This window comes from Homo sapiens, chromosome 9, assembly GCF_000001405.40.
Source record: "Homo sapiens chromosome 9, GRCh38.p14 Primary Assembly".
Lineage (NCBI taxonomy): Eukaryota > Metazoa > Chordata > Mammalia > Primates > Hominidae > Homo > Homo sapiens.
Window position 1 is genome coordinate 34,220,312 of NC_000009.12, and position 27,042 is coordinate 34,247,353.

Below are 27,042 nucleotides of genomic sequence, written 5' to 3' on the forward strand. Positions count from 1 at the left end.
CAGCGAATTTTTGATTTTCATTAATTAATTATTTTTGTGTGTGAGACAGGGTCTCGCTCTGTTGCCCAGGCTGTAGTGCAGTGGCTCACTGCAACCTCAATCTCCCGGGCACAAGCGATCCTCCCATCTCAGCCTCCCAAGTAGCTGGGACTACAGGTGTATGCCAACACACCCAGCTAATTTTTTCAATTTTTTATAGGGACAGGGTCTCCCTATGTTGCCCAGGCTGGTCTCGAACTCCTGTGCTCAAGTGATCCTCCCAGCTCGGCCTCACAAAGTACTGGGATATAGGAGTGAGCCACCAAGCCTGGCCTCGGCTAATTTTTAATTTTTTTAATATAGAGATGGGGTCTCACTATGTTGCTGGTCTCAAATTCTTGAGCTCAAGTGATCCTCCCACCTCTGCCGCCCAAAGCACTGGGATTACAGGCATGAGCCACAGTGCCTGGATCTTTTTTTTGGACTTTGGGAGTGAGACGTGAGGATTCTGTCAGCCCTAAAACCTTAGGTCTTCTGGTTTCTTTTTTGTACTCTCAATTTTCTTCGTACTACCTTCAAGGTATAATGTGCCTAAGAAATATTTCCTTGTTTTTCAGGTTCTAAATGGCTTCTAAGAAGTTGGGTGCAGATTTTCATGGTAAGTGGACTATTAGAATCATGGTTTAAGTTATGATTTGATCAGAGGATTTGGAATCACTTAGCATAGTTTTAAGTACAAGTGCCCCTTTTTGTCTCTTTTAATGAACAGCTTGACAAAAATAAAGTTGTACAACAATGTATCAAGTATATCTGAAAGGTCTTCAGAGAACTTGAAGTATTTCTTCAAATGGGTAGTTAAACTTTAGAGTGTCTCTGGTTATTGTACTTGAAACTACTAGTGATAGATTAGGAGTCTGCCTGTTCTGGTTCTTCAGCAGCATTGAAGGTATAGTTACTGGCTGGGCGCGGTGGTTCAAGCCTGTAATCCCAACACTTTGGGAGGCTGAGGCGGGTGGATCACGAGGTCAGGAGATCGAGACCATCCTGTCTAACACGGTGAAACCCCGTCTCTACTAAAAATACAAAAAATTAGCCGGGCGTGTTGGCGGGCGCCTGTAGTCCTAGCTACTCGGGAGGCTGAGGGCAGAAGAATGGCGTGAACCCGGGAGGCGGAGCTTGCAGTGAGCCGAGATCGCACCACTGCACTCCAGCCTGGGGGACAGAGCGAGACTCCATTAAAAAAAAAAAAAAAAAGGTATAGTTACCTTTCCCTTTCCTGTTCCTTGGTCATAGCTCTTCTCCATATGTGTGTGTGTGAAAAATTCTAACCCTTTGGTTAATGCTTTATAATGTTTTAGTTTAGTTCCCTGTGCCCCATCAAAGGAAGTAATTTACTACAAATCAATCACTATATTACAGAGGTATCAATACTGATATTTATAATTTTGAATTTGAAATTAAGAGTTTCTCTGTCATCTTTTCCTAAGATACAACCTTCCAAAATGGAATACAATAATAAACTACTATCTGCCTTTGGAGGGGAATGGAGGGAGGTGGAGGTAGCTAAGAAGTTAAAATTATACCCTTTTTTCATACAGTAGAAGGTAAGAATTTAAAACCAGAAGTAGCCAAGTAACACAATTATTTTAAGAGAGGTTTTAAAGCCAATCTTCCATGTTAAAAATTATATCAGCCAGGCACAGTGGCATGTGCCTGCAGTCCCAGCTACTCAGGGGGCTAAGGTGGGAGGATTGCTTGATCCCAGAAGTTTGAAGTTGCAGTGATCATGCCACTGCACTCCAGCCTGGGTGACAGAGTGAGACCCTGACTCAAACAAAAAAAATACATATATATATCACATCATTTTAAGAATGATTTACTAGACTGCCTGGGGACGTGTTGGTATGCTCTTCTGAGCTGCCAGTGGTTGCTTGATAAGATCACTCAGCTGAGTCAGAGTGGTGTAGCGGTGATTGTGATTTTACTTGCTTATATATTTTACACAACAGCCTTTGAATTTTGATTTGTCAGTGTGCATATACTTACATAGATAACCTGCCTGAGTTTTTAAAAATCCTTTTGAAGTTATTCAAACTCTGGAATTAGCATTCCTTAAAGAGGTCAGGCATCTTATTTTTCAGGTGAGCTATTTCCTATTATTTATGGATTATTACAGGTCTTCTTAAAAGTATTCAAATGATAGTAGAAAGGCAGATCTGGGCAGGGCACGGTGGCTCATGCCTGTAATCCCAACAGTAGATTAGGAGGTTGAGGTGAGAGGATCGCTTGAGGCCAGGAGTTCAAGACCAGCCTCAGCAACATAGTGAGACGCTGTCTCTACAAAAAAATTTTAAAAATTAGCTGGGTATGCTGGTATGTGCCTGTAGTCTCAGCTACTCGGGAGGCTGAGAGGTGGGAGTAGTGCTGAGCCCGGGAGGTCAAGGCTGCAGTGAGCCATGATCACGCCACTGCACTCCAGCCAGAATCACATGAGAGCCTGTCTCAAACAAACAAACAAAAAATGATTCTTGCCACTGAGCTTAAGAAAAGAAAAAGGGAAAAAAAGGCAGATCTGAATTCCCTCTAGATCCTACCTTTTCAAGGGAGAAAAGAGAGGACAGAGCCAAGGGCAGAGGAAAAGCTTAGGGAGAGAAAATAGCAAAAATGAAAAATTTACACTTATTTCAAAAGATAGACTTTCTGTTTTGAATCTTTGGAACATCTGTTTTGATCAGACTGAAAATAGTTGGACCACATGTTTTGTGTTTCAACTGAACATTCCAGAGAGAAGATTATAATTCTGAAGGTGTCTGTTCATAAAGACTGGTATTTCCCATATCTCCTTAAATTCCTAACCAGGCTGGGCATGGTGGCTCACGCCTGTAATCCCAGCACTTTGGGAGGCCGAGGCGGGCGGATCACCTGAGGTCAGGAGTTCAAGACCAGCCTGACCAACATGGAGAAACCCTGTCTCTATTAAAAATACAAAATTAGCCGGGTGTAGTGACGCATGCCTGTAATCCCAGCTACTCGGGAGGCTGAGGAAGGAGAATCGCTTGAACCTGGGAGGCAGAGGTTGCAGTGAACTGAGATGGTGCCAATGCACTCCATTCCATCTCAAAAAAAAAAAAAAAAGAATTCTTAACCAAAGTGTTATTTTGTTTGTTTGTTTGTTTGTTTTTGAGACAGAGTCTCGCTCTGTCGCCCAGGCTGGAGTGCAGTAGCACGATCTTGGCTCACTGCAAGCTCTGCCTCCTGGGCTCACGCCATTCTCTGCCTTAGCCTCCCGAGTAGCTGGGACTACAGGTGCCTGCCACCATGCCCAGCTAATTTTTTTGTATTTTTTAGTAGAGGCGGGGTTTTACCGTATTAGCCAGGATGGTCTCGATCTCCTGACCTCGTGATCCGCCTGCCTTGGCCTCCCAAAGTGTTGGGGTTACAGGCGTGAGCCACCGTGCCCGGCCCAAAGTGTTATTGTTTAAATGAAACTTTCTACCTGAGTAAAATTTAGGAGAAAAATTTTCTTTCTCCCTTAGGCTGCTTCTCCTTTAACAGGGCTCTTTTTGCTGAGTTCCTGGTTGAATTTCACTGGCTTTACTTGTTTTTTTTGTTTTTGTTTTTTTGTTTTTTGGGTTTTTTTTGGGAACAAAACAATAAACACCTTCATTACATGGGTGAAGACAAAACGAGGATTTATTTGCCTTTCCGGACCTTGATTTTCCTAAGATAGAACTCCAACTCCTTCCCCTCTAGCACATAGCCGTCTGTTTGGCCACACTGTCCCGGCCTTGAAGTGATGCACGCAAGAAGCTTGCCCTGCTGGAACTGCTCCTCCAGGAGACTGCTGATTTTGGCCTTTTTTTTTCCTTTCATCGATTTCTTCTGAAATTTTTTAGATCATTTTTTGTTTAAAATCTCTTCTTCCTCAGGAGTCAGCTTGTCTCCTTTCTTGTGGCCCAGGGGTAGCGCATAGTGGGACTCGTACCACTGTCCATACGGTGTGCTGTCGATGAGTATGGTGTGCTGTCAATGAGCATGAAGCAATTCTTCACCAGGGTCTTGTTATGGACCAGCTCGTTATTAAACGCATTGTAGACAACATCGATGATCCTTGTTTTGCAAATACAACGCTGAGCCCCAGGAGAAATTCCCTACATGCAGCCTTAGGGCACGGTATTTCTTGTTACCTCCTCAAACATGGACTGTGTGGACGTGGCAGGGGCCAATGTTGGTGTTGGCAGCTGGGCACCCCTGCTCATACTTCCGCTTCTTGTGGTAGGGCTTTCTCTTGCCCCCGGTCTTGCGGTGCTTGTGTCAGTTCTCCCGAGAGATGCCCATTGCTCGGCGCTGGCTGGAAAGAGCTAGTTGGGTTTTTAGAGTAAAGTATCCTATTTTTAGATATCAGGTAGTTTAAATAATAGAAATGAAAGGCAGTAGATGGAGAATATTTAATAGGCAATTGTGCAGGCATGTGAGTACAGAAAATAAAGTTTCTGCTCTCTCAAGGCTAAAATTAGAAAGCCAGGAACTAAGGCTACTCCTTCCACTTCTCAGGAAGCTGCTTAGCCTTTCTTCACTATATGTCTCTGTGTCTGTGATCCATTATTATTCAGTTCATAGACTTGCTTTCTTGGCCTAATAGTGTAGAGTACACAGGGCTATAAATGGCCACCCCAGTTAAGGTGCTGCTTGCTACTTGATCTTTCAGTTTCAGTGGCTAGCATCATAGAGATAGAGATTTTATATCTTTTGGTCAAGGCAAACTGATGGCATAGCCTTCTTAGCTTATGAGCCTGTGGATTGGTCCTCCAAAGTTAGATATCTGACTGATCCATTGAGAGGTTAATGGATGTGGGTAACTTTTCTGTGGCACTTGGGGTGTGGACAAGGAGGTAATAACTGCTGTCATGACGGATATTAAAATGTATTTTTTTTTCTTTTTAATATTTGGGACTGACTAGGTCTGGTGCTGTGCTGTCTTTGACTAGCACTTGATTTACCTCTGAGTTCATTATTTTCAACTAAAGTTGAACAACTTCACTGTTACTAGTGACCATATATCCCTAAATAACAGAATAAGGGAAACAAACAGTTATTTCTCAAACTTCTAGAAATATTATCCATTTCTTATAAAAACTCCATACCCTTCGCTTAGTTTGGATAAGGACTTTCTTGGAGCCTGGTGCTTTAAAATCTCAATCCTCTGGCTGGGCGCGGTGGCTCATGCCTGTAATCACAGCACTTTGGGAGGTTGAGGCAGGCGGATCATGAGGTCAGGAGATCCAGACCATCCTGGCTAACATGGTGAAACCCTGTCTCTACTAAAAATACAAAAAAAAATTAGCCGAGCATGGTGGCTGGTGCCTGTAGTCCCAGCTACTTGGGAGGCTGAGGCAGGAGAATGGCGTGAACCCAGGAGGAAGAGCTTGCAGTGAGCCGAGATCACACCACTGCACTCCAGCCTGGGTGACAGAGCAAGACGCCATCTTAAAAAAAAAAAAAAAAGAAAAGAAAAAAGAAATCTCAATCCTCTTTCACTGATTCTTATTTTCATCTAGGAGAAAGGTTATTTATCTGGAAAATGTGTTGAGACTCTAATTTATGAAAAAATAGACCCCGTGATAAGATTTGATAAAACTAGCCCCCCTCCTTAAATCACTTTATCGAGGTATAATTGATATATAAAAAGCTGTACATATTTACATGTTTAATGTATACATCTTGATGAGTTTGAGGATAAGTATACACTCATGAAACCATCACCATCATTAAGGCATAAACATTCATTACCTTCTAAAGTTTCCTCCTACTCTATTGTGTGTGTGTGTGTGTGTGTGTGTGTGTGTGTGTGTGTGTGTGTGTGTGTGGTGGGCTGGAGGGATTGCTTGAGGCCAGGAGTTTGAGACCAGCCTGGGCAACATAGAAAAACCCCGTTTCTTGTTTTTTTTTTTTTTTTTGAGATGGAGTCCCGCTCTGTCGCCCATGCTGGAGTGCAGTGGTGCCATCTCTGCTCACTGCAACCTCTGCCTCCTCAAGCAATTGCTCAAGCAATTCTCCTGTCTCAGCCCCCTGAGTAGCTGGGATTATAGGTGCGCACCACCATGCCTGGCTAATTTTTGTATTTTTAGTAGAGACAGGGTTTCGCCATGTTGGCCAGGCTGGTTTTGAACTCTTGACCTCAGGTGATCCACCTGCGTCTGCGTCCCAAAGTTCTGGGATTACAGGCATGAGCCACCGCGCCTGGCCTTGTTTCTACAAAAAATTAAAAATTAGCCAGGTGTGGTGGAGCTTCTCTATAGTCCTAGCTGCTCAGGAGCCTGGGACAGGAGGATTGCTTAAGCCTGGGAGTTCAAGGTTATAGTGAGCTATGATCACATATGCATTAGGTTGTTTGGTATTGTTCCAGATATCTCTTAACACTGTTCAATTTTTTTTTTCCCTTTTTCTCTCTTTGTATTTCAGTTTGGCTAATTTCTTTTGACCTAACTTCAAGTCCCAAGTCTTTCTTATGCTGATTATTGTCTTCGGATTAGCATAGCCTGGTTTATGAACCATCAAAATTTTTCTTTTCTGATAATGCATTTTTCACTTGTGGCATTTCCATTTGTCTCTTTATATTTCCATCTCTCTGCTGAAGTTCCCATCTGCTCACACATGTTTAGTTTTTCCATTAGACCCTTTAACATATTTATTATTGTTATTTTAAAGCTCCCTGTCTGATGTTTACAATATCTTGGCTCTCCCTGAATTTGGGTCTGATGACTGGTTCCTCTCTTAATTCTGGATCACATTTTCTTGCTTCTTTCTGTGTCTTATAATTTTTAATTGAATGCCAGACAATGTATATTAAAAAGCTGATTTTGTAGATTATATGGCTTGTTTTGTTGTTAGGATATGAGTAACATTTTCTTGTGATTTCACATCTTACAACAGATATCTATGTTATTTTGTATATTTATGATTTTGCCAGTGTTACCTGGCTTGTGGCTTTAAGATAGTTTTTTTTGTTTTATTTATTTATTTATTTATTTTTAAGTCCTTTGCTGCAGGAGGCGCTGATGGCTTTAAGATGGTGATAACCAGTCATGGAATTACAGATTTTCACTTAATTTTAAGTTTGATCTTCTTTTTAAAAAAACCTCAATTTGAATCTCCTCACAATAATACCTGAATTAAATATTATGCATTTGCTATCCTCTATTGGGGATTTCTCCCCCCACCTGGAATTGTACTTTTTTTAGAAAAAACGGGCAGATTGCAGAATCATAGGCATATCAGCAATTTAGAAAGAAACAAAGCAAATGAAGTCTTCCCAGAGTTTATCCTGAGTCATTACATATTCAGCCCACTCACTATCTTCCACCAAAGTGGTATGCAGAACCTAACTTCAAGGAACTGCCACAACCGCAGCCATGAGGCATGCACTTAGTGGCTATTTAAAAAATTGAACTTAGGAAAATGGGTGCAAATATTTTAGGAAGATTTTCAGTAATAAGGACTGAAACTAAAAGGTATTTGAGGTTGAGGCAGAAAATTGTTAGCTATAATATTTTAAATTCTAGATACATTGGATAAAAATGGACAATTCCACTTTGGGAGGCTGAGGTGGGAGGATTGCTTGAGTCTGGGAATTTGAGACCAGCCTGGGCAACAAAGTGAGCCCTCAGCTCTACAAAAAAATTTAAAAAATTAGCTGGGCATGGTGGTGCATGCCTGTAGTCTCAGCTACTCAGGAGGCTGAGGTGGGAGGATCACTTGAGCCCAGGAGAATGAGGCTGCAGTGAGTGGTGATGACGTCACTGCACTCCAGCCTGGGTGAGAGAGCAAGACCCTGTCTTAAAAAAGAAGCTGGGTGCGATGGCTCACGCCTTTAATCCCAGCACTTTGGGAGGCCGAGGTGGGCGGATCATGAGGTAAGGAGATCGAGACCATCCTGGCTAACACGGTGAAACCCCATCTCTACTAAAAATACAAAACATTAGCCAGGCGTGGTGGCAGGCACCTGTAGTCCCAGCTACTCAGGAGGCTGAGGCAGGAGAATAGCGTGAACCCAGGAGGCGGAGCTTGCAGTGAGCCGAGATTGTGCCACTGCACTCCAGCCTGGGCGACAGTGCGAGACTTCATCTCAAAAAAAAAAAAAAAAAGAAAAAGAAAAGCTAATTCCTGAGGCATAATTGGTTATATTTGGAAGACATATATTTTGTAATTCTCACAGCACCATCATTAATAGTACTTACGGTGGTCTCTATCCATTATTACAAATACTGCTTTCTTTGTTTCCCCCCCCCCCTTTTTTTTTTGGAGATGGAGTCTCAGTCACCCAGGCTGGAGTTCAGTGGCGTGATTTTCGCTCACTGCCGCCTCCGCCTCCTGGGTTCAAGTGATCCTCCTGCCTCAGTTTCCCGAGTAGCTGGGATTACAGGCGTGCATCACCATGCCTAGCTAATTTTTTTTTTTTTTTGTATTTTTAGTAGAGACGGGGGTTTCACCATGTTGGCCAGGCTGGTCTTGAAATCCTGACCTTGAGTGATCTATCCGCCTTGGCCTCCCAAAGTGCTGGGATTACAGCTGTGAGCCACTGTGCCTGGCCACGTTCCCATCTCTTTAAATGCCTTTTTGCCCTTTATCCCTACCTCCTCCTTCCAGTAATCACTGAACTATTTGTTCATTCTCTCTTAATAAAGCTTTTAAAGTACGAAGACCCTGGAGGGTTGGGGGATGTACTAAATAAATCACCTTGGCATTGGCTTTATTAGTGAAAGGAAACTGATTTTTAAACCAGATACCTGCAATTGGTGCTAGTGAAGGGAAACGGCAGCCCTTTAAAGGTATTCTACCTCATCTTTTCTGTCCCTAAGCCAGGACCTAGTTTCATTTATAGAATATAAGTTTGTCAGTGTATATCACACTGTAGTAGTTTGCTACGTGAAAGGTAGGCAAGGAGATCACTTCTCTTATAGGATTTTTATCTTTTTTTTTTTTTTTGAGATGGAGTCTTGTTCTGTTGCCCAGGCTGCAGTGCAATGACGTGATCTTGGCTCACTGCAACCTCTGCATCCCAGGTTCAAGCGATTCTCCTGCCTCAGCCTCCCGAGTAGCTGGGATTACAGGCACACACCACCATGCTCGGCTAATTTTTGTATTTTTGGTAGAGATGGGGTTTCACCATGTTGGCCAGGATGGTCTTGATCTCCTGACCTCGTGATCCTCCCACCTCAGCCTCCCAAAGTGCTGGGATTACAGGCATGAGCCACTGTACTCGGCCTGACATGGAGTCTTGCTCTGTCACTAGGCTGGAGTGCAGTGGAGCCATCTCGGCTCACTGCAGCCTCTGACTCCCTGGTTCAAGAGATTCTCCTGCCTCAGCCTCCTGAGTAGCTGGGATTACAGGAACGTGCTACCACGCCCAGCTAATTTTTTGTATTTTTAGTAGAGATGGGGTTTCACCATGTTGGCCAGGATGGTCTCAATCTCCTGACCTCATGATCTGCTTGCCTCGGCCTCCCAAAATGCTGGGATTACAGGCATAAGTCACCATGCTTGGCCCCTAATTTTTGTATTTTTAGTAGATACGGGGTTTTACCATGTTGGCCAGGCTGGTCTCGAACTCCTGACCTCAGGTGATCCACCCGCCTCTGCCTCCCAAAGTGTTGGGATTACAGGCGTGAGCCACCACGCTGGCCTCATATCTTTAGCACAGTACTTTTGTAGTTTTTCTCCAACTCCTTGTTACCAATCTACAATAGAACTTGGTTATTTAAGAAAATTTAGTTGTTATTAGTATTATTATTGAAATGGAGTCTCGCCCTGTCGCCCAGGCTGGAGTGCAGTGGTGTGATCTCAGCTCACTGCAACTTCTGCCTCCCGGGTTAAAGCAATTCTCCTGCTTCAGCTTCCCGAGTAGCTGGGATTACATGGGCACGCCACCATGCCCAGCTAATTTTTTTGTATTTTTAGTAGAGACGGGGTTTCACCATGCTGGCCAGGCTGGTCTCGAACTCCTGACCTCATGATCCGCCTGCCTTGGCCTCTCAAATTGCTGGGATTACAGGCGTGAGCTGCCGCACCTGGCCAAATATAGTTATTATTAATGTGGATAGATTTTATCATTTTTGTGTATCATCTGTGCTTATTAGTGTTAAACAAAAGACTTAATTGTGTGCTTGTTAACTTGACTGTAAATCTTTCCAATGATTCTTAGTGCCAAAGTTTCAGCTTTGTTTCCAGTTAATCAGGATACTAGCCAAAGTTAGAATCTTTCAATAACATTTGAGTCCCTATTTTCAAAGAAAACAGACAAAAATTCTTTAAAATTAGAAAGAGCTTTTGTTCTAATCTTTTAAAATATAAGCATTTTATAAGTGCCATAGAGTTTAAGTGTTGTAATCAACACTTAGTTTTGTTGGTAAGCTGTGATGGCACCCGGCACTTTTTTGGTGGTGCTGGGGCGGGGGATGACATCTGTCTGGTACATTTTTGTAACTTTGTTCAGATCTCAGACATATGCTTGTATCATGTATGAGTAATCTGTTAAAAACATTTTCATGACTAGCCTTGTCATTTTTGGGCAAATAATTTTCAATTTTCATATTAAATATAAGTTGGAACTGGGTGTGATAGCTCATGCTTGTAATCCCAGCAATTTGAGAGGCCGAGGCGGGAAGAATGCTTGAGCCCAGGAGTTGGAGACCAGCCTGGACGACATAATGAGACCCTGTCTTAGCTACTCAGGAGGCTGAGGTGGGAGGATTATTTGGGACCCAGAGGGCAAGGATGCAGTGAGCCATGATAGCACCACTGCACTCCAGCCTGGGCAAATGTCTCTTTAAAAAAATTATGTGTGTGTGTGTGTGTGTGTGTGTGTGTGTGTGTGTGTGTGTGTGTGTTGGGGTCGGGGTTAGATTGAATCCAGAAGAAGTATAAAAGCATGTCTTTATTTATTTATTTATTTTGAGATGGAGTTTCACTCTTGTTGCCCAGGCTGGAGTGCACTGGTGCGTTCTTGGCTCACTGCAACTTCTGCCTCCCAGGTTCCTGCCTCAGCCTCCCGAGTAGCTGGGATTACAGGCATGTGCCACCATGTCTGGCTAATTTCTTGTATTTTTAGTAGAGATGGGGTTTCACCATTGTTGGCCAGGCTGGTCTCGAACTCATGACCTCCACCTGCCTTGGCCTCCCAAAGTTCTGGGATTACAGGCGTGAGCCACCGGTCCCGGCCAAAAGCATGTCTTTATTATTGGTTCTTCATTCATTGAACAAATTCCATGAGCCATACATTATACTGAGTTTTGGTGATATAGATATGAAACATTTCTCCCCTGTTAAGGGACACTCAAAATTTTTTTGTTTTTTTTTTTTGTTTGTTTGTTTTTGAGATAGAGTCTCGCTCTGTCACCCAGCCTGGAGTGCAGTGGTGCGATCTTGACTCACTGCAAGCTCCGCCTCCCGGGTTCACGACATTCTTCTGCCTCAGCCTCCCCAGTAGCTGGGACTACAGGCGCCCCCACTGCGCCCGGCTCATTTTTTGTATTTTTAGTAGAGACGGGGTTTCACCATGGTCTTGATCTCCTGACCTCATGATCCGCCCACCTCAGCCTCCCAAAGTGCTGGGATTACAGGCGTGAGCCACTGTGCCCGGCCGGGACACTCAAATTCTTGCTCAGACTCTCTGAAGGGAGGTTAAGGAAATGAACTATTAACAATACAAAGAGGTAAGTCCTAAGGTGGTAGTATTAACTGGCTATTCTGAGGTTGAGAAAGGAGTCGTTCTTGAGGCTCACTGCACCTTCCGCCTCCTAGGTTCAAGCAGTTCTCCTGCTTCAGCCTCCCAAGTAGCTGGGACTACAGGCGTGTGCCACTACGCCCGGTGCAGTTTTGTATTTTCAGTAGAGAGGGGGTTTCACCATGTTGGCCAGGTTAGTCTAGAACTCCTGACCTCAGATGATCCACCTGCCTTGGCCTCCCAAAGGGGTGAGACTACAGGCATGGGCCACTGCACCCGGCCTGAGTTTCTTCTTAAAGGGCTAAATAATAATTACTCAAGTAAATAAGGGTAGGAATGTGATAGGCATTGCCAGCCATGAAATTAGCACATCTAAAAGGATGACCACACTTGGAAAATTCCTAGGGTGTTAATAAATATGGTGATTTCCTAGAGTGTTAAATTACTAAATTGATCACAGTTGTAAATTTAATTTGCTAGCTAAGTGAGCGATAGTTCAAATGTTTTAGTTCTGGCCAGAAGTTAGATGGGAAAGAGATGGAAAAGACACCCATTCCCCCAAGGGTTGGGAGTAGGGGGCATTCTTCCTAATGGAGAGTTTCAGGTGTATCTGCAGAATACCTATCCCAGGAAATGGGAGTGATGACAAGATTACAAATATTTTCTGACCTTGATAATTCTTGAGATCTACACAGTTTTCGTAAGGAAAGAAGTCATCTTCATGGAAGAGGTATAATTGTCTTGTTCTGTGTCTGTGAGCACCCAAGAAAATAGTGTGAGGCTGAGAGGTAAACCTTCCTTTACCAGCTGCCAATGTTGAAAAACAAAATTTATTTTATCAACTGTATTTCATTGTCCACAATGGTTCTGCCTGTAAATTAGCCTCCCAGAGCTGCTCCAGAAAAGAAAACATGGCCCTGTTTGGAGTATATAGCTATCGAGAGTCTCATATAAGAGGCGTTTTCCTTTTATCTGACCCCGTGAATAGATGGTCATGTTCTGGTCTTTCCATGTTGTTCAGTTATGATGGGCAAAGAACCTGTAGGAGATTAAAGCAGCTCCATTGTGTATGGCTTGTGCTCCTGATGATCTTACTCAGAATCCCATGATTTTGTCGGGTTTTCCCCTTTTCATGTAAGTGTTGTGCTGCTTAAGGATTTCCATGTTGTTCTAGAATGTAGTGTTTTTTAAGCTAGAGTAATTCTTTCTCTTCTTTTTTTTTTTTTTGAGACAGAGTCTTGCTCTGTTGCCCAGGCTGGAGTGCAGTGGCGCGATCTCGGCTGACTGCAACCTCCGTCTCCTGGGTTCAAGCGATTCTCCTGCCTTAGCCTCCTGAGTAGCTGGGTTTACAGGCATGCACCACCATGCCTGGCCAGTTTTTGTGTTTTTAGTAGAGACGGGGTTTCACCATGTTGGTCAGGCTGGGAGTAATTCTTTATATTAATTGAAAATGATTTTTTTCTAAAGTAGAGAATCCTAATCAAGGAGATTCTTTTCTGGGGAGTCTCATCCATTCAGTATTTATTAAATGCTGATGTGTGCCAGGCAATACTGAAGGTTTTGAAAATATGTCATTGAATAAGATAGACTTAAATACTTGCCCTATATTTCTTTGGGAAAGAGAAACAATAAATATAATTAAAAAGTCAATTTATAATGTTAGAAGGCAATAAGTGTTATGGGGAAAAGGTAAATGGTAATATGAGAGTATTGTAGTGAGGGTGGGGTAGTACTTTTAAGTAGGGCGGGTCAGGGTAAGCCTCACTGAGAGGGTAACATTTGAGCAAAAACTTGAAGGAGTGAGTCATGTGACAGAAGAGTGTTCCAGTTAGAAGGAACAGTTGGTACAGAGTATTTGAGGTGGATTAAGCCTGTCATCTTTAAAAGCAGCAGTCACCATTACTTAGTACAGTGAGCCAGAGGATGACTGTAAGGAGATGAGGGCAGAGAGGCTGTGGGTGATGTGAGTACTTTGGCTTTTACACTAAGTGCCATTGAAAATAAACTCCTAATAAGACTGAATCAGTAGAATTTCCTTCTCAGAGATTTAGGGTCAAGGAAAAGGTAAGCAGTCAGAGAAGGAACTCTGTAACTTCTAGACTTAGGATAGCAAAAATTAATGCATATCCGTTAGACATAAGATTATGGCAAAACAAATAATGAAGTTCTTTGCTGATATTTTCTACTTTATTTTTGATTATAGGGACTTTCAGTTACCTTGATGATGTCCCATTTAAGACAGGAGACAAATTCAAAACACCAGCTAAAGTTGGTCTACCTATTGGCTTCTCCTTGCCTGATTGTTTGCAGGTTGTCAGAGAAGTACAGGTAAGTGGTAATTTTTAGTTAAAGTTTAGTGCATTTAAAAGTTTAAAGAGTAAGAATTTGATGTATAGTGAAATAGAAAAAATTACAGTTGTGAGCTGAATCATGTTTTGGTCAACGATGGACCACATATACAATGGTGGTCCCATAAAATTATAAGGGGCTGGGCGTGGTGGCTCACGCCTGTAATCCTAACACTGTGGGTGGCCAAGGTGGGAGGATCACTTGAGCTCAGGAGTTTGAGACCAGGCTGGGCAACTTAATGAGACCTCATCTCTACTAGGGGAAAAAAAAATGATAGATATATATATATATATTCCTATCACATAGTGACGTAGTAGCCATTGTAACATGGTAGCGCAATGCATTACTCAAGTGTTTGTGGTGATGCTGGTGTAAACACATCTGCTGCATTGACAGTCTTACAAAAGTATAGCACATACAATTCAGTATAGTATGTAATACAAATAAATGACTATGTTACTCATTTATGTATTACTATGCTATACTTTTTAGCATTATCTTTCTACTTATTAAAAAAGTTAACTGTAGAACAGCCTCAGGTAGGTCCTTCAGGAGATATTCCACAGGAAGGCATTGTGATCATAGGAGATGACAGCTCCATGCATGTATTGCTCCTGAAGACCATACAGTGAAACAAGATGGGAAGGTGGAAGACAGTGATACTGATGATCCTATAGGCCTAGGCTGATGTGTGTGTGGCTTCATTTTTAAGAAAGAAGTTTAAAAAGTAAAAAAATAAAAAATTTAAAGATCAAAAAGCTTATAGAATAAGAGTATAAAGAAAAATGTTTTGGAAGATAAAAAACATTTTAGGCTAAGTATTAGTTCGGAAGAGTAAAAAAGTTAAAAAAATTTAATGTTTATAAAGTTAAAAAGGCACAGTAAGTTAGAGTTATTATTTAGAGAAAAATTGTTTTTTACATTTGTGTATATGTGTATATATATATGTGTGTGTGTGTGTGTGTGTGTGTATATATATATGTATGTATTTTTTTGAGACGGAGTCTCACTCTGTCGCCCAGGCTGGAGTGCAGCGGTGCAATCTTGGCTCACTGCAAGCTCTGCCTCCTGGGTTCACACCATTCTCCTGCCTCAGCCTCCCGAGTAGCTGGGACTACAGGCGCCCGCCACCATGCCTGGCTAATTTTTTGTATTTTTTAGTAGAGACGGGGTTTCACTGTATTAGCCAGGATGGTCTCAATCTCCTGACCTCGTGATCTGCCTGCCTTGGCCTCCCAAAGTGCTGGAATTACAGGCGTGAGCCACTGCGCCCGGTCAAAAAATTGTTTTTTACAAATTTAGTATAGCCTAAGTGTACAGTGTTTATAAAGTCAAGGGTACTACTGTACAGTAATGTCCTAGGCCTTCACATTTACCATTCGCTTACTCACTCACCCAGAGCAACTTCCAGTCCTACAAGCTCCATTTATGGTAAGTGCCCTATACAGGTGGACCATTTTTAATCTTTTTTTTTTTTTTTCTTTTTTTGAGACGGAGTTTCATTCTTGTTGCCCAGGCTGGAGTGCAATGGCGCGATCTCGTCAAGAAGAGAGACTCTTTCTGTCTCTATGTAACCTCCGCCTCCACCTCCTGGGTTCAAGCAATTCTCCTGCCTCAGCCTTCTAAGTAGCTGGGATTACAGGTGTGCACTACCATGCCCGGCTAATTTTGTATTTTTAGTGGAGTCAGGGTTTCACCATGTTAGTCAGGCTGGTCTCGAGCTCCTGACTTCAGTTGATCCGCCCACCTCGACCTCCCAAAATGCTGGGATTACAAGCGTGAGCCACTGCACCCAGCCTATTTTTAATCTTTTATACCATATTTTTACTGTACCTTTTCTATGTTTAGATAGGTTTAGATACATAAATACTTGCCATTATGCTACAATTGCCTACAGTATTCAGCATAGTAACATGCTATACAGGTTTATAGCCTAGGAGCAATACTGTACCATAGCAATACCGTATAGCCTAGGTGTATAGCAGGCTGTACCATCTAGGTTTGTGTAAATACACTCTGCCCTCACCGATGAAATCACCTAACATGCATTTTTTAGAGCGTATCCTTGTCATTATGACTGTATTATCTTATTTTTGTTTCTTATAGCTCCTATTGTTGCCTGGCTCACATTGTTATACACACATACAGATTTTGTGTCCTCTGTTAGATTGTATATTCCTGGGGCCCTGTACCTCACACAGACCAAATTCCCATTGCCCATTTAACTAGCTTTTTCACCTCTTTCCCTTTCTCTGCTAATGTCCTCATTCTCTTTTCAGTCACTCAAGTTAGATTTGCTGTGTCTCACATTGCAGTTCAGCCTGACCTCATTTTTCACCTGGGCTGTTGCAGTAGCCTCTTTAATTGGCCCTTCTGCTTGCGGTGTTTTCCTTCTATTTTTTACATAGTTTCTAGAATGATCTTAAAGTTTTAAATTGTCACATCCCTTTTCATAACTGTTCAAAAGGGTTCAATGACTAACCAGTCCTTATTGAGTATAGTCTAGACATAAGGTTATGACAAAGCAATTGAGCTCATCACCTCCTCCATGTTCCCTCCAAACCACGTTACTAGTAGTCTGTTAGACCTTGTACGTTATCTCTCTATATGTTGCTTCTGCTCATGAGCCGTTATCTCCACCTGGAATATTCTTTTTCTCACTATACTGAAAACTCCGTTCAAATCTATTCTAGATTGCGTGTAAATGCTATCTCTTCGAGGGCTTCTTTCTCAGTCCTCCCATCTTTAAGGCTCAGTTATATAGAAATGTACTGAGTTACTCCTTGAAAGCAACAAATAGCCCTGTGTTACTTACTTACTGCAGTACACATTTACTAAACGCATGTTTATGAGAGGTGGTCTACTGGGCACTGCAGGTAGAGATAAATGCCTTAATCACTGCCCTCAAGGTACTTACAGTTGAGAGAAGTTACCTAGAGCAACAGAAAAATATGGTACTTTAACTCTTCTTCCTGTGACTTAAGAAGATTTTTAAAAATGCAGCTTTCAGGAAAAGAAGTTTTGTTTTTCTGGAATTCACTAAGGCATCACCATTTTATTCTAAAAGGTATTACTTTTTTTATCTTCCAAAGTCTATATGCAGTAAGTAATCATAATGAGGGAACTTCAGTTACTTTTGGGAGAAAAAAAATATTTATTGAGATATAATTCACATACCATGAAATTTACCTTTTTTTAAAAAAAAACTTTTTTTGGTTTATTTGTAGACACAGTCTCACTCTGTCACTCAGGGTGGAGTCTAGTGGCACAGTCATGGCTCACTGCAGCCTCGACCTCCCTGAGCTTGGTGATCCTCCCTCCTCAGCCTCCTGAGTAGCTGGGACTATTGGCATGCACCACCATGCCTGGCTAATTTTTGTATTTTTTGTAGAGATGGGGTTTCATCATGTTGCCCAGGCTGGTCTTGAGCTCCTGGCCTCAAGTGATCTGCCCACCTCAGCCTCCCAAAGTGCTGGGATTACAGGTGTCAGCCACCATGCCCGGCCAAAATTCACCTTTTTAAGGTATACATACAGTTCAGTGATTTTTAATATATTCACATAGTTGTGTAATAATCATTACTATCTAATTCCCGAACATTTTCATCACCCCAAAAGGAAACCCAGTGTCCACTAGAAGTCACTCCCCACAGCCTCTGGCAGCCTCCTCGCAGCCTCTGGCAACCAGTATCTACTTTCTGTCTCTATGGGTTTGCCTATTCTGGCCATTTCATATAAATGGAATTCTGCAGTAGCAGCCTTGGTGACTGGCTTATTCACTTAGCATAATGTTTTCAAGGTTTATCCACGTTGTATGAATGAGGTATTAGTACTTCATTTATTTTTGTAGGTGAATAATATTTCATTGTTTGGATATAACACACTTTGTTTATCTGTTCATCAGTTGATGGGACATTGTGGTAGTTTCTAATTTTCGGCTATTATGAATAATGATGCTCTGAACATCTGTAAACAGATTTTTGTGTGGACACATGTTTTCAGTTTTCTTGGGTATAATGTATAGGAATGGCATTGCTGGGTCATAGTAACTCTATGTTTAACATTTTAAAGAACTGCTATTTTTCCAAAGTGGCTGCACAATTTTACAATCCCAGCAGCACTACAAGAGGGTACCAATTTCTTCACTTCCTTGCCCACTCTTATTAACTCGTTTTCATTATATACATTCTTGTGGGTGAGAAGTTGTCTCTCATTGTGGTTTTTATTTGCATTTCTTTCATGTCTAATGGTGTCAAGCATCTTAAGTATCTTTAATACTGAATTAATGTTCCTTTTGTGTATGGAGACTTTATTGGGCCAGAAGAGAGATAGACCTACTTTGTAACGTTTTTCCATGTTTTATTTGTGTAAGAATTTTTTTATTGGCAATAACAAATAGTCATTACTTACCTTTGTACATGATACTATTAGCAATATGATTTAAAAACACCTGTCTTGTTTCTCATTATTCACTGCTTTACTGATGCCTTCAGAAAACTTGTTTTGATTCCCAAATTGTCGATTTAGGCTTTGCTGGGAATTTCCCATTTGGTCAGTCTGAAGCACCAATAAAAGCATGGTATGTGCTCACTGTGCTCATAGCACCCACTGATAACAAAAGGAGATCAAAGCTAAGAGCTCCATTCCAATGTGGGCCATGTGAAATATTTTTGTTCTCTAATGCACAAAGCAATCTTTTTTTGAGATGGAGTCTTGCTCTTTTGCCCAGGCTGGAGTGCAGTGGCGCCATCTTGGCTCACTGCAACCTCCACCTCCCAGGTTCAAGAGATTCTCCTGCCTTAGCCTCCTGAGTAGCTGGGACTACGGCATGTGCCACCACACCTGGCTAATTTTTGTATTTTTAGTAGAAGACAGGGTTTTGCCATGTTGACCAGGCTGGTCCCGAACTCCTGACCTCAAGTGATCCGCCCACCTTGGCCTCTCAAAGGAGGCCAAGCCTGTCTGGCCTACAAAGCAGCCTTAAACTTTGACTGTCTGGAGTCTCCATGGGGTTGTAGTGTTGTATCTGGTCCCCTCCGTACCCAGAGAACAGTCAGACCTAGAGCTCTAGACAGATGGCTTGAAAGTTCCTATAACTGTCATATTTGCCTTTGCATGACAATACAAACTCAACTTTTCAGCTAAAATTTCTTTAGAGTGAGCCAGTAAAACATACACAGCCCTTGCTTCTAGGGTCCAGAAAGCTTCTGTTGAATGTGGCTCACGTGAGGTAGCCCTTAGTGTCATGGTTTAGAACATCCTCTGGTGTCACTCATACATGTGCTGGAGAATTGACCTGTAATAGCTATATAATCTTGGACAGATTTTTTAACTTCTGCAAGCCTCAATTTCTTCATCTGTAAAGGGAGGATGAGGATGATTAGCTTTTAAGGTTGTTAGAAGAGTTAAATAATGCATTTATAATGCTTACTCTGGTTCCTGGAACTCCATAAATACAAGATGACATTATTTATTATTATACTCCAAAACCACATTCTTTTCTACTTTAATATTTCTGCCATCCTCAGCCCCCTCCCTCCCTGCACCGCACCCTGCTTTTTCTGCGTTCCAAGTATTCTACATTACTTTGGTAACTAAAAAACAAAAGTTCAATAAATGTTTGCTAGAAAAGGAAAGAAATTTCCAATTTTTTTAAAATAAAACTTCAAAGAACAATGTTTATAGGGCAATGGGAAGTTAGTTATAGCCTCCATTTTTATTAGGGGAACCAATTGCAAAATTGGGTTTTCTCCACAGTTAGAAGAGCAGAGTCATTGCCACTGCTCTTTTCTCATTGTTCCATTAGTGGTAGAAAGGAAGCCCAGTGATCCCCCCATATGTCTATCTGAGGCACAGCAGCTGGCTCAGGATGTAAAGTAACTTCTTGTCATGTGCCTTTCTAGGCTTCTCTTTTGTTGTTTGAATTTGAATGGCTTGAGTATGACCAGGGGCTCTTTCCTATGTTTCTTCTCTAAAATTCTGGTGTTAGCACGTTAGACCTCTCTTTTCCCCCTTTTTTACTTTTAGTGTGTCTCTCACCTTGGACATTAACACAGATACTGTTTAGCTCTAGTGCTTTGGGGTGAAAGCCAAAGATTTTGTTTTTTCCTGTCCTATGTGAATGTTGCTTTATATAATAGGTCTGTTTCTCTTAAGTGTGCAAAATAAATTTTTGTAAATTGAGCTATACTTAAGATATTGTTAAAGAACCATGAAGTGGCTCTTTGTGTAATTTGCTGTGTAAAAATCTTAATCTGATTTCTTATAAGTTTTTCTGCATTTTAACTGCAACCTGTTCATCATAATCTAATAGATAGTGGTTTAAGAGCATAGAATCTGTAGTCAGACTGCCTGGGTTCAAATCCAGGCTCTTCCATTTAGCTACCAGCTTTATGCTTGGTTGTAGATCCTGTTAAGTAGGAATAATAGTAGTTACTTTAAAAGGTTATTGAGAAAATCTAGAGAGTTAATGCATAAAAAGTGTTTAGAATCATGCATGGCACCTTACAGGTATTTCTTACATGTTTGGGGCTATCATTACCTAGCATGGGATTTGTTTAGGACATTGTGCTAGATAATAGAGATCCAAGGAGGGTCTGTAGCCAGGTTGCTGCCCACAAGAGGCTTGTGGGAACATAGTTTGGTTAAATCTTACAAGGACATTGGAAGCCTTACTCTTTTTAAGTGGGGATCATCCCACACGCCTTAAATGCTGCCTTGTCCGGTTATCCTCTTGCACCAGGAGTGAGGAAGGAGTGAATTGGGTGGTGGGGTAAAGATGGCCACCTGGGTTCACACCCCCTTCCTCTGCTATATCTTTGCAGTATGACTTCTCTTTGGAAAAGAAAACCATTGAGTGGGCTGAAGAGATTAAGAAAATCGAAGAAGCCGAGCGGGAAGCAGAGTGCAAAATTGCGGAAGCAGAAGCTAAAGTGAATTCTAAGAGTGGCCCAGAGGGCGATAGCAAAATGAGCTTCTCCAAGACTCACAGTACAGCCACAATGCCACCTCCTATTAACCCCATCCTCGCCAGCTTGCAGCACAACAGCATCCTCACACCAACTCGGGTCAGCAGTAGTGCCACGAAACAGAAAGTTCTCAGCCCACCTCACATAAAGGCGGATTTCAATCTTGCTGACTTTGAGTGTGAAGAAGACCCATTTGATAATCTGGAGTTAAAAACTATTGATGAGAAGGAAGAGCTGAGAAATATTCTGGTAGGAACCACTGGACCCATTATGGCTCAGTTATTGGACAATAACTTGCCCAGGGGAGGCTCTGGGTCTGTGTTACAGGATGAGGAGGTCCTGGCATCCTTGGAACGGGCAACCCTAGATTTCAAGCCTCTTCATAAACCCAATGGCTTTATAACCTTACCACAGTTGGGCAACTGTGAAAAGATGTCACTGTCTTCCAAAGTGTCCCTCCCCCCTATACCTGCAGTAAGCAATATCAAATCCCTGTCTTTCCCCAAACTTGACTCTGATGACAGCAATCAGAAGACAGCCAAGCTGGCGAGCACTTTCCATAGCACATCCTGCCTCCGCAATGGCACGTTCCAGAATTCCCTAAAGCCTTCCACCCAAAGCAGTGCCAGTGAGCTCAATGGGCATCACACTCTTGGGCTTTCAGCTTTGAACTTGGACAGTGGCACAGAGATGCCAGCCCTGACATCCTCCCAGATGCCTTCCCTCTCTGTTTTGTCTGTGTGCACAGAGGAATCATCACCTCCAAATACTGGTCCCACGGTAAGTCTTTTAAATCCCCCGCCGACTCCCATATTTTCCTGATGACAGGGATTATGTTTTTTCTTGTTGTTTGGTTGATTTTTTTCGAGACAGGGTCTCATTCTGTTGCCCAGGCTGGAATGCAGTGGTGTGATCGTACCTTATTGTAGCCTCGACCTCCCGGGCTCAAGCCTGTTGGGACAACAGGCACATGCCATCACACCTAATTTTTGTGTTTTTTGTAGAGATGCGGTTTTGACACGTTGCCCAGGCTGGTCTCAAACTCCTGACTTCAAGTTATCTGCCTGCCTTGGCCTTCCAAAGTGCTGGGATTACAGGTGTGAGCCACCAAGACTGGCAGTACAGAACAACACATTATTGCATTCTAGAATAGAAATCAATAGAAGTCAAGAACCTTTTGCTACACCAGCTTACAGATTTCTTTTCCTTTCTTTTTTTTGAGACAGAGTCTTGCTCTGTCGCCCAGGCTGGAGTGCAGTGGCACCATCTCGGCTCACTGCCAACCTCCACCTCTCACGCAATTCTCCTGCCTCAGCTTCCCGAATAGCTGGGACTACAGGCATATGCCACCACACTCAGCTAATTTTTGTATTTTTAGTAGAGACGGGGTTTTACCACGTTTCCGAGGCTGGTCTCAAACTCCTGACCTTAGTTGATCCACCTGCCTCCACCTCCCAAATTCCTGGGATTACAGGGGTGAGCCGCTGTGTCCGGCCAGCTTACAGATTTTTTAATGTAAAAGCACATCAAGAGACTATTTAGAGCCAAAAAGGAGCCTGAGTATATTGGTGGGATATCTGTCAGAGACCATAACAAGCCTGCTATTAGCTGGTAAAAAGATACAAAATCTTGGCCTGCTTTACAAGTCCCAGTAATAGCATTCTTGGTCAATGATAGTCTGTGTGAATGCTTCTATTGTCAGAGAGCTCATAGCTGCTTGTAAACTTCCATAAACCTTGGCCCGGGTAAACTTGATAGAGTGCCGAACACCATTATTATCTTCTTGGAGTGGGCTTCATTCTAATTCCTCTTGGTCAGTTGTTGGGCTCTGGTCAGCACTGTACTTCTTCCTTTTCATGGTACTTTGAATGCTTTAGAGAAATTAAAATCTCCCTGGAAAAGATCAGGGATCCTTGGCCAACACTCCCTTCCTCTCATTTAAAGTTAGATTAACCATTTAGAGATCAAAGCCAATAAACTAACAGCAGAGATCTTTCTCAAACTAGAACGCTTGTCATTCTTTGACCAGCCTGATGATGGGAGTTTCTTTCTGACCTGTTCATCTCAGGATGGGAAGAGGCCTGCTTCTTGTTGGCTTGAGAATTTGCTGCCTTCCACCTGCAGGTATAAACAGAGCTGGAGTTCTGGTGTTTCTTTTTTCTTTTTTTTTTTTTTGAGACAGATTCTAATTCTGTCACCCAGGCTGGAATGTAGTGGTGTGATCTCTGCTCACTGCAACCTCCACCTCCCAGGGTCGGGCGATTGTCCTGCCTCTCGCAGCCTGCCAAGTAGCTGGGATTACAGGCATGTGCTATCGTGCTCGGCTCATTTTTGTATTTTTAGCAGAGATAGGGTTTCGCCATGTTGGCCAGGCTGGTCTGGAACTCCTGTGCTCAAGTGATCCACCCGCCTCAGCCTCCCAAAGTGCTGGGATTACAGGTGTGAGCCACAGTGGCTGGCCAATTAAATATTGACTATAATCACCCTGTTGTCTTATCAAATGGTAGATCTTATTCTATTTTTTTCTTTGCTTTTTTCTTCAACAGAGTCTCGCTCTGTCGCCCAGGCTGGAGTGCAGTGGCGTGATTTTGGCTCACTGCAACCTCTGCCTCCTGGGTTCAAGGGATTCTTCTGCCTCAGCCTCCAGAGTAGCAGGGATTACAGGCGCCTGCCACCATGCGCAGCTAATTTTTGTATTTTTAGTAGAGACGGGGTTTCACCATCTTGGCCAGGCTGGTCTTGAACTCCTGACCTCGTGATCCGCCCGCCTCGGCCTCCCAAATGCTGGGATTACAGGTGTGAGTCACCGCACACAGCCATTCTTTCTATTTTTTTTGTACCTATTAACCACCAGCCCCCGACTACTACCCTTCTCAGCCCCTGTGGTAACCATCCTTCTAGTGTCTATGTCCATGGGTTCAATTGCTTTGATTTTTAGATCACACACATAAGTGAGAACATGTGATGTTTGTCTTTCTATGCCTGGCTTATTTCACTTAACATAATGATCTCCAGTTCCATCCATGTTGTTGCAAATGACAGGATCTCATTCTTTTTCATGGCTGAACGGTACTCCATTGTGTACGAGCACCACATTTTTTTAATCCATCCTTGTTTAAGTTCTTTCACTTTACTCTTTTTTTTTTTCTTTGGAGACAGATTTTGCTCTTGTTGTTCAAGCTGGCGTGCAATGTTGCGATCTCGGCTCACTGCAACCTCCGCCTCCCGGGTTCAAGTGATTCTCCTGCCTCAGCCTCCCATGTAGCTGGGATTACAGGCATGTGCCACCACGCCTGGCTAATTGTTCTATTTTTAGTACAGACGGGGTTTCATCATATTGGTCAGGCTGGTCTCAAACTCTTGACCTCAGGTGATGCACCTGCCTCGGCCTCCCAAAGTGCTGGGATTATAGGTGTGAGCCACTGCACCTGGCCTATCCATTCATCTCTTGATGGACACTTAGGTTGCTTCCAAATCTTGGCTATTGTGAACAGGGCTGCAACAAACATGAGAGTGCAGATCTTGTTTATGTTTTACTTTCTGGGACATATCCTTAACTTACAACTTCAAAAAAAAACTACTAAATCTTACAACCTTTTATTTTATTTAATTTATTTTTCCCCCTGAACTTGATAGTAGGTGATTATTTTTTAAGAGATGGGATTTTTGTCCCCTAGGCTGGGGTGCAGCTTACTGCCTCAGCCTCCTGTCTGGGACTACAGGTGTGCACCACTATGCCCAGCTGATTTTTGTAGAGTTGGGGGTCTCACTGTTTGCCCAGGCTGGTCTTGAACTCCTGGGCTCAAGTGATCCTCCTGCCTCAGCCTCCCAAAGTGTTGGGATTACAAGCATGAGCCACCATGCCCAGCCTAAATCTTACTACCTTTTAAATACAATTTTTACTTTATCATATTTTAAATTTCCAAGTGCTTTGTCTATTCCCTCTTTTGGTTTGGTGTTTTCATGCTGGTGGCTTTGGCTTTCTATTCACGTTTAAGTATGAGGCACTAAAAAAATAACAGTCACAAAGTTTGTGTGTCAGAGGTGTGCTTGCTGATCATTAAGCTTCACTATAGGTTGAAAGTTAATTGGCTTTGCCGGGGAAGTCCCCAAAATGTAAACATGTGAAGGGCTTGGGTGAGGGTTTCTCCAGAGAATTCTGGCTGAGGACTGATGTTGGGGAATGCTGGTGTGTTGCTTTTACTTAATCCTTGTTTAAGTTCTTTCACTTCACTCTGCCCCACACTGTGCCTGGTGCTTAGTCCTCTTTGGTCTCTGGTTCCCATTTTCTGGAGACTATACCTTCTGCCTCCTGCACAGGGTGGGGATGAATGGGGACTGTTTCACCAAGGGCTTTACTGCTCTGATCACTGACTGTGTGTATCTTTGCCTTATCCCAACAGTACCTGGTGCTTCCAGAGTCTGAGCCCCTCTTAGGGATCCTAATGGGCTGATAGACTGACTCCCCCCTTTCCTACTTACTTACTTAGTTTATAACTTCATTGCTGGCAATTACCATCCCTTCATTATCTTTCCACATTCTAAAATTTCATTGAAATATATCACACCAGTAATCCCAGCATTTTGGGAGGCCGAGGTGGGAGGATTGCTTGAGCCCAGGACTTCGAGATCAGCCTGGGCAGCATACTGAGATCTTGTCTTTGTTTCTTTATTTAAAAAGAATAAGAAATATATTGTCCACTGCTACCCCCTTTCCTTTTATTGCTTTAAAGATGAATACAGTTTTAATTCTTTATTTTTAAATTTTTATTATTTTTTTTGAGACAGGGTCTTGCTCTGTAATCACGGCTCACTGCAGCCTCGACCTCCTGGGCTCAAGTGATCCTCCTGCCTCAGCCTTCTGGGTAGCTGGGACTACAGGCACGTGCCACCACACCTGGCTAACTTTTTGTGTTTTGTAGAGATGAGTCTCAACTATGTTGTCCAGGCTGGTCTCAAAATTCTGAGCTTAAGCAGTCCTTCTGCCTCAGCCTCCCAAAGTGCTGGGATTATAGGCATGAGCCATTGCTCCTGGCCTTAGTTTGTTTATGATCATTTTAGTGGGCTTTTGGGAAGAAGAGATGGTAAAGACATTTTAGTGTGTTAAATGAAATTCTCCCTTTGAAAATTCTAATGGACTTCAATTTATTCCACAACTGTTGATGAAGACCAGTAAGTGTAAAGCCAAGAGTCAGGCCCTGGGGATTTAGAAATGGGCATGACATGGTAACTGACCTCTCTGCAAGCTCACACTAATGTAATGTGATAAGTACTTTGCCAGCAGTGTGACTAAAGCTCTGTGGGACCACAGGTGGCAGTGTGTCCGCTGAGTTGTGCACACACATTAGCAGTGGGTTAAAAGGAGGTTTATGGAAAGACTTGGTAGAAGCTGTCTTGAGGTTAGGCTTGAGGGCCACATAGGTACAGAAAGGACTGCCACCTTCTGAGGCCTGAGAGCATGCTGAGACTCTTCAGAAGCTTGAGCACTAATATTTGTCTCCTTTCACAAACGTACTTTCCCTCAAACACTCATATTTAATTTGGAAAGATTTCATAATAATTCTCATTTTTGTCTAGTTTCTACTTGGTTACAAATATGGAGCACTTCAGTCATCGAGTATGAAAATCCCTTTTTATGCCAGAGTCAACCTTTGCCCCTGCAGGAAGTAAATTTTACTATTCTTTTATTGAAAAAATAATGACAAATGGCTACCATGAATGCAGTTAATGGTGTTTAAAAAGTCATATCTAGATTACTCCTAAGAGCCTTATATATATTTGAAAATGGTACCCTGGAGTAAATAAATTTGGTGAGTAACTGGAGAAACTAAACACTGTTATAATTTTGATGAGGGATCCTTTCAAACCTTGTCTGTCCGTTTGGGGTCTGCTGGATTAGCCTGTTGCCTGTTTGATTCATGAAACATTTATATGAAGGTGACATCTTATTTTGTTTGTCCCTGTTCAAGAAAAGTATCATCTGTTAGGATAGATGATACTTTTAAATCATCCATTTAAAATCAGT

At 42.5% G+C, this 27,042-nt stretch overlaps 1 protein-coding gene and 1 pseudogene across 11 annotated transcripts in view, besides 1 other annotated feature; one reads left to right on the top strand and one right to left on the bottom strand.

Annotated features, from left to right (window-relative positions):
• Positions 1–27,042, top strand: part of UBAP1 (ubiquitin associated protein 1) — a 73,519-nt gene that overhangs the window by 41,307 nt on the left and 5,170 nt on the right. For 7 of the 11 annotated variants that reach the window (NR_033243.3, NM_001171204.3, NM_001171203.3 and 4 more), the window contains 3 exons: positions 597–637; positions 13,905–14,029; positions 20,874–21,797. Coding sequence is in view for 10 of the 11 variants with exons in the window: in NM_001171204.3 (NP_001164675.1) it covers positions 604–637; positions 13,905–14,029; positions 20,874–21,797 (1,083 nt within the window). In the remaining variant the exon portion in view is untranslated. The remainder of the gene's footprint in view (positions 1–596; positions 638–13,904; positions 14,030–20,873; positions 21,798–27,042) is intronic. The other 4 variants (NM_001171202.1, XM_011517898.2, XM_017014802.2 and 1 more) reach the window with 2 other exon arrangements.
• Positions 1,827–2,027: a silencer, noted in NCBI's record as "peak7226 fragment used in MPRA reporter construct". NCBI's record gives its function as "represses an SCP1 promoter by STARR-seq MPRAs in K562 erythroleukemia cells {active_cell/tissue: K562}" and the evidence as "EXISTENCE:reporter gene assay evidence [ECO:0000049][PMID:32103011]".
• On the bottom strand, positions 3,620–4,340 carry RPS8P9 (ribosomal protein S8 pseudogene 9; annotated as a pseudogene).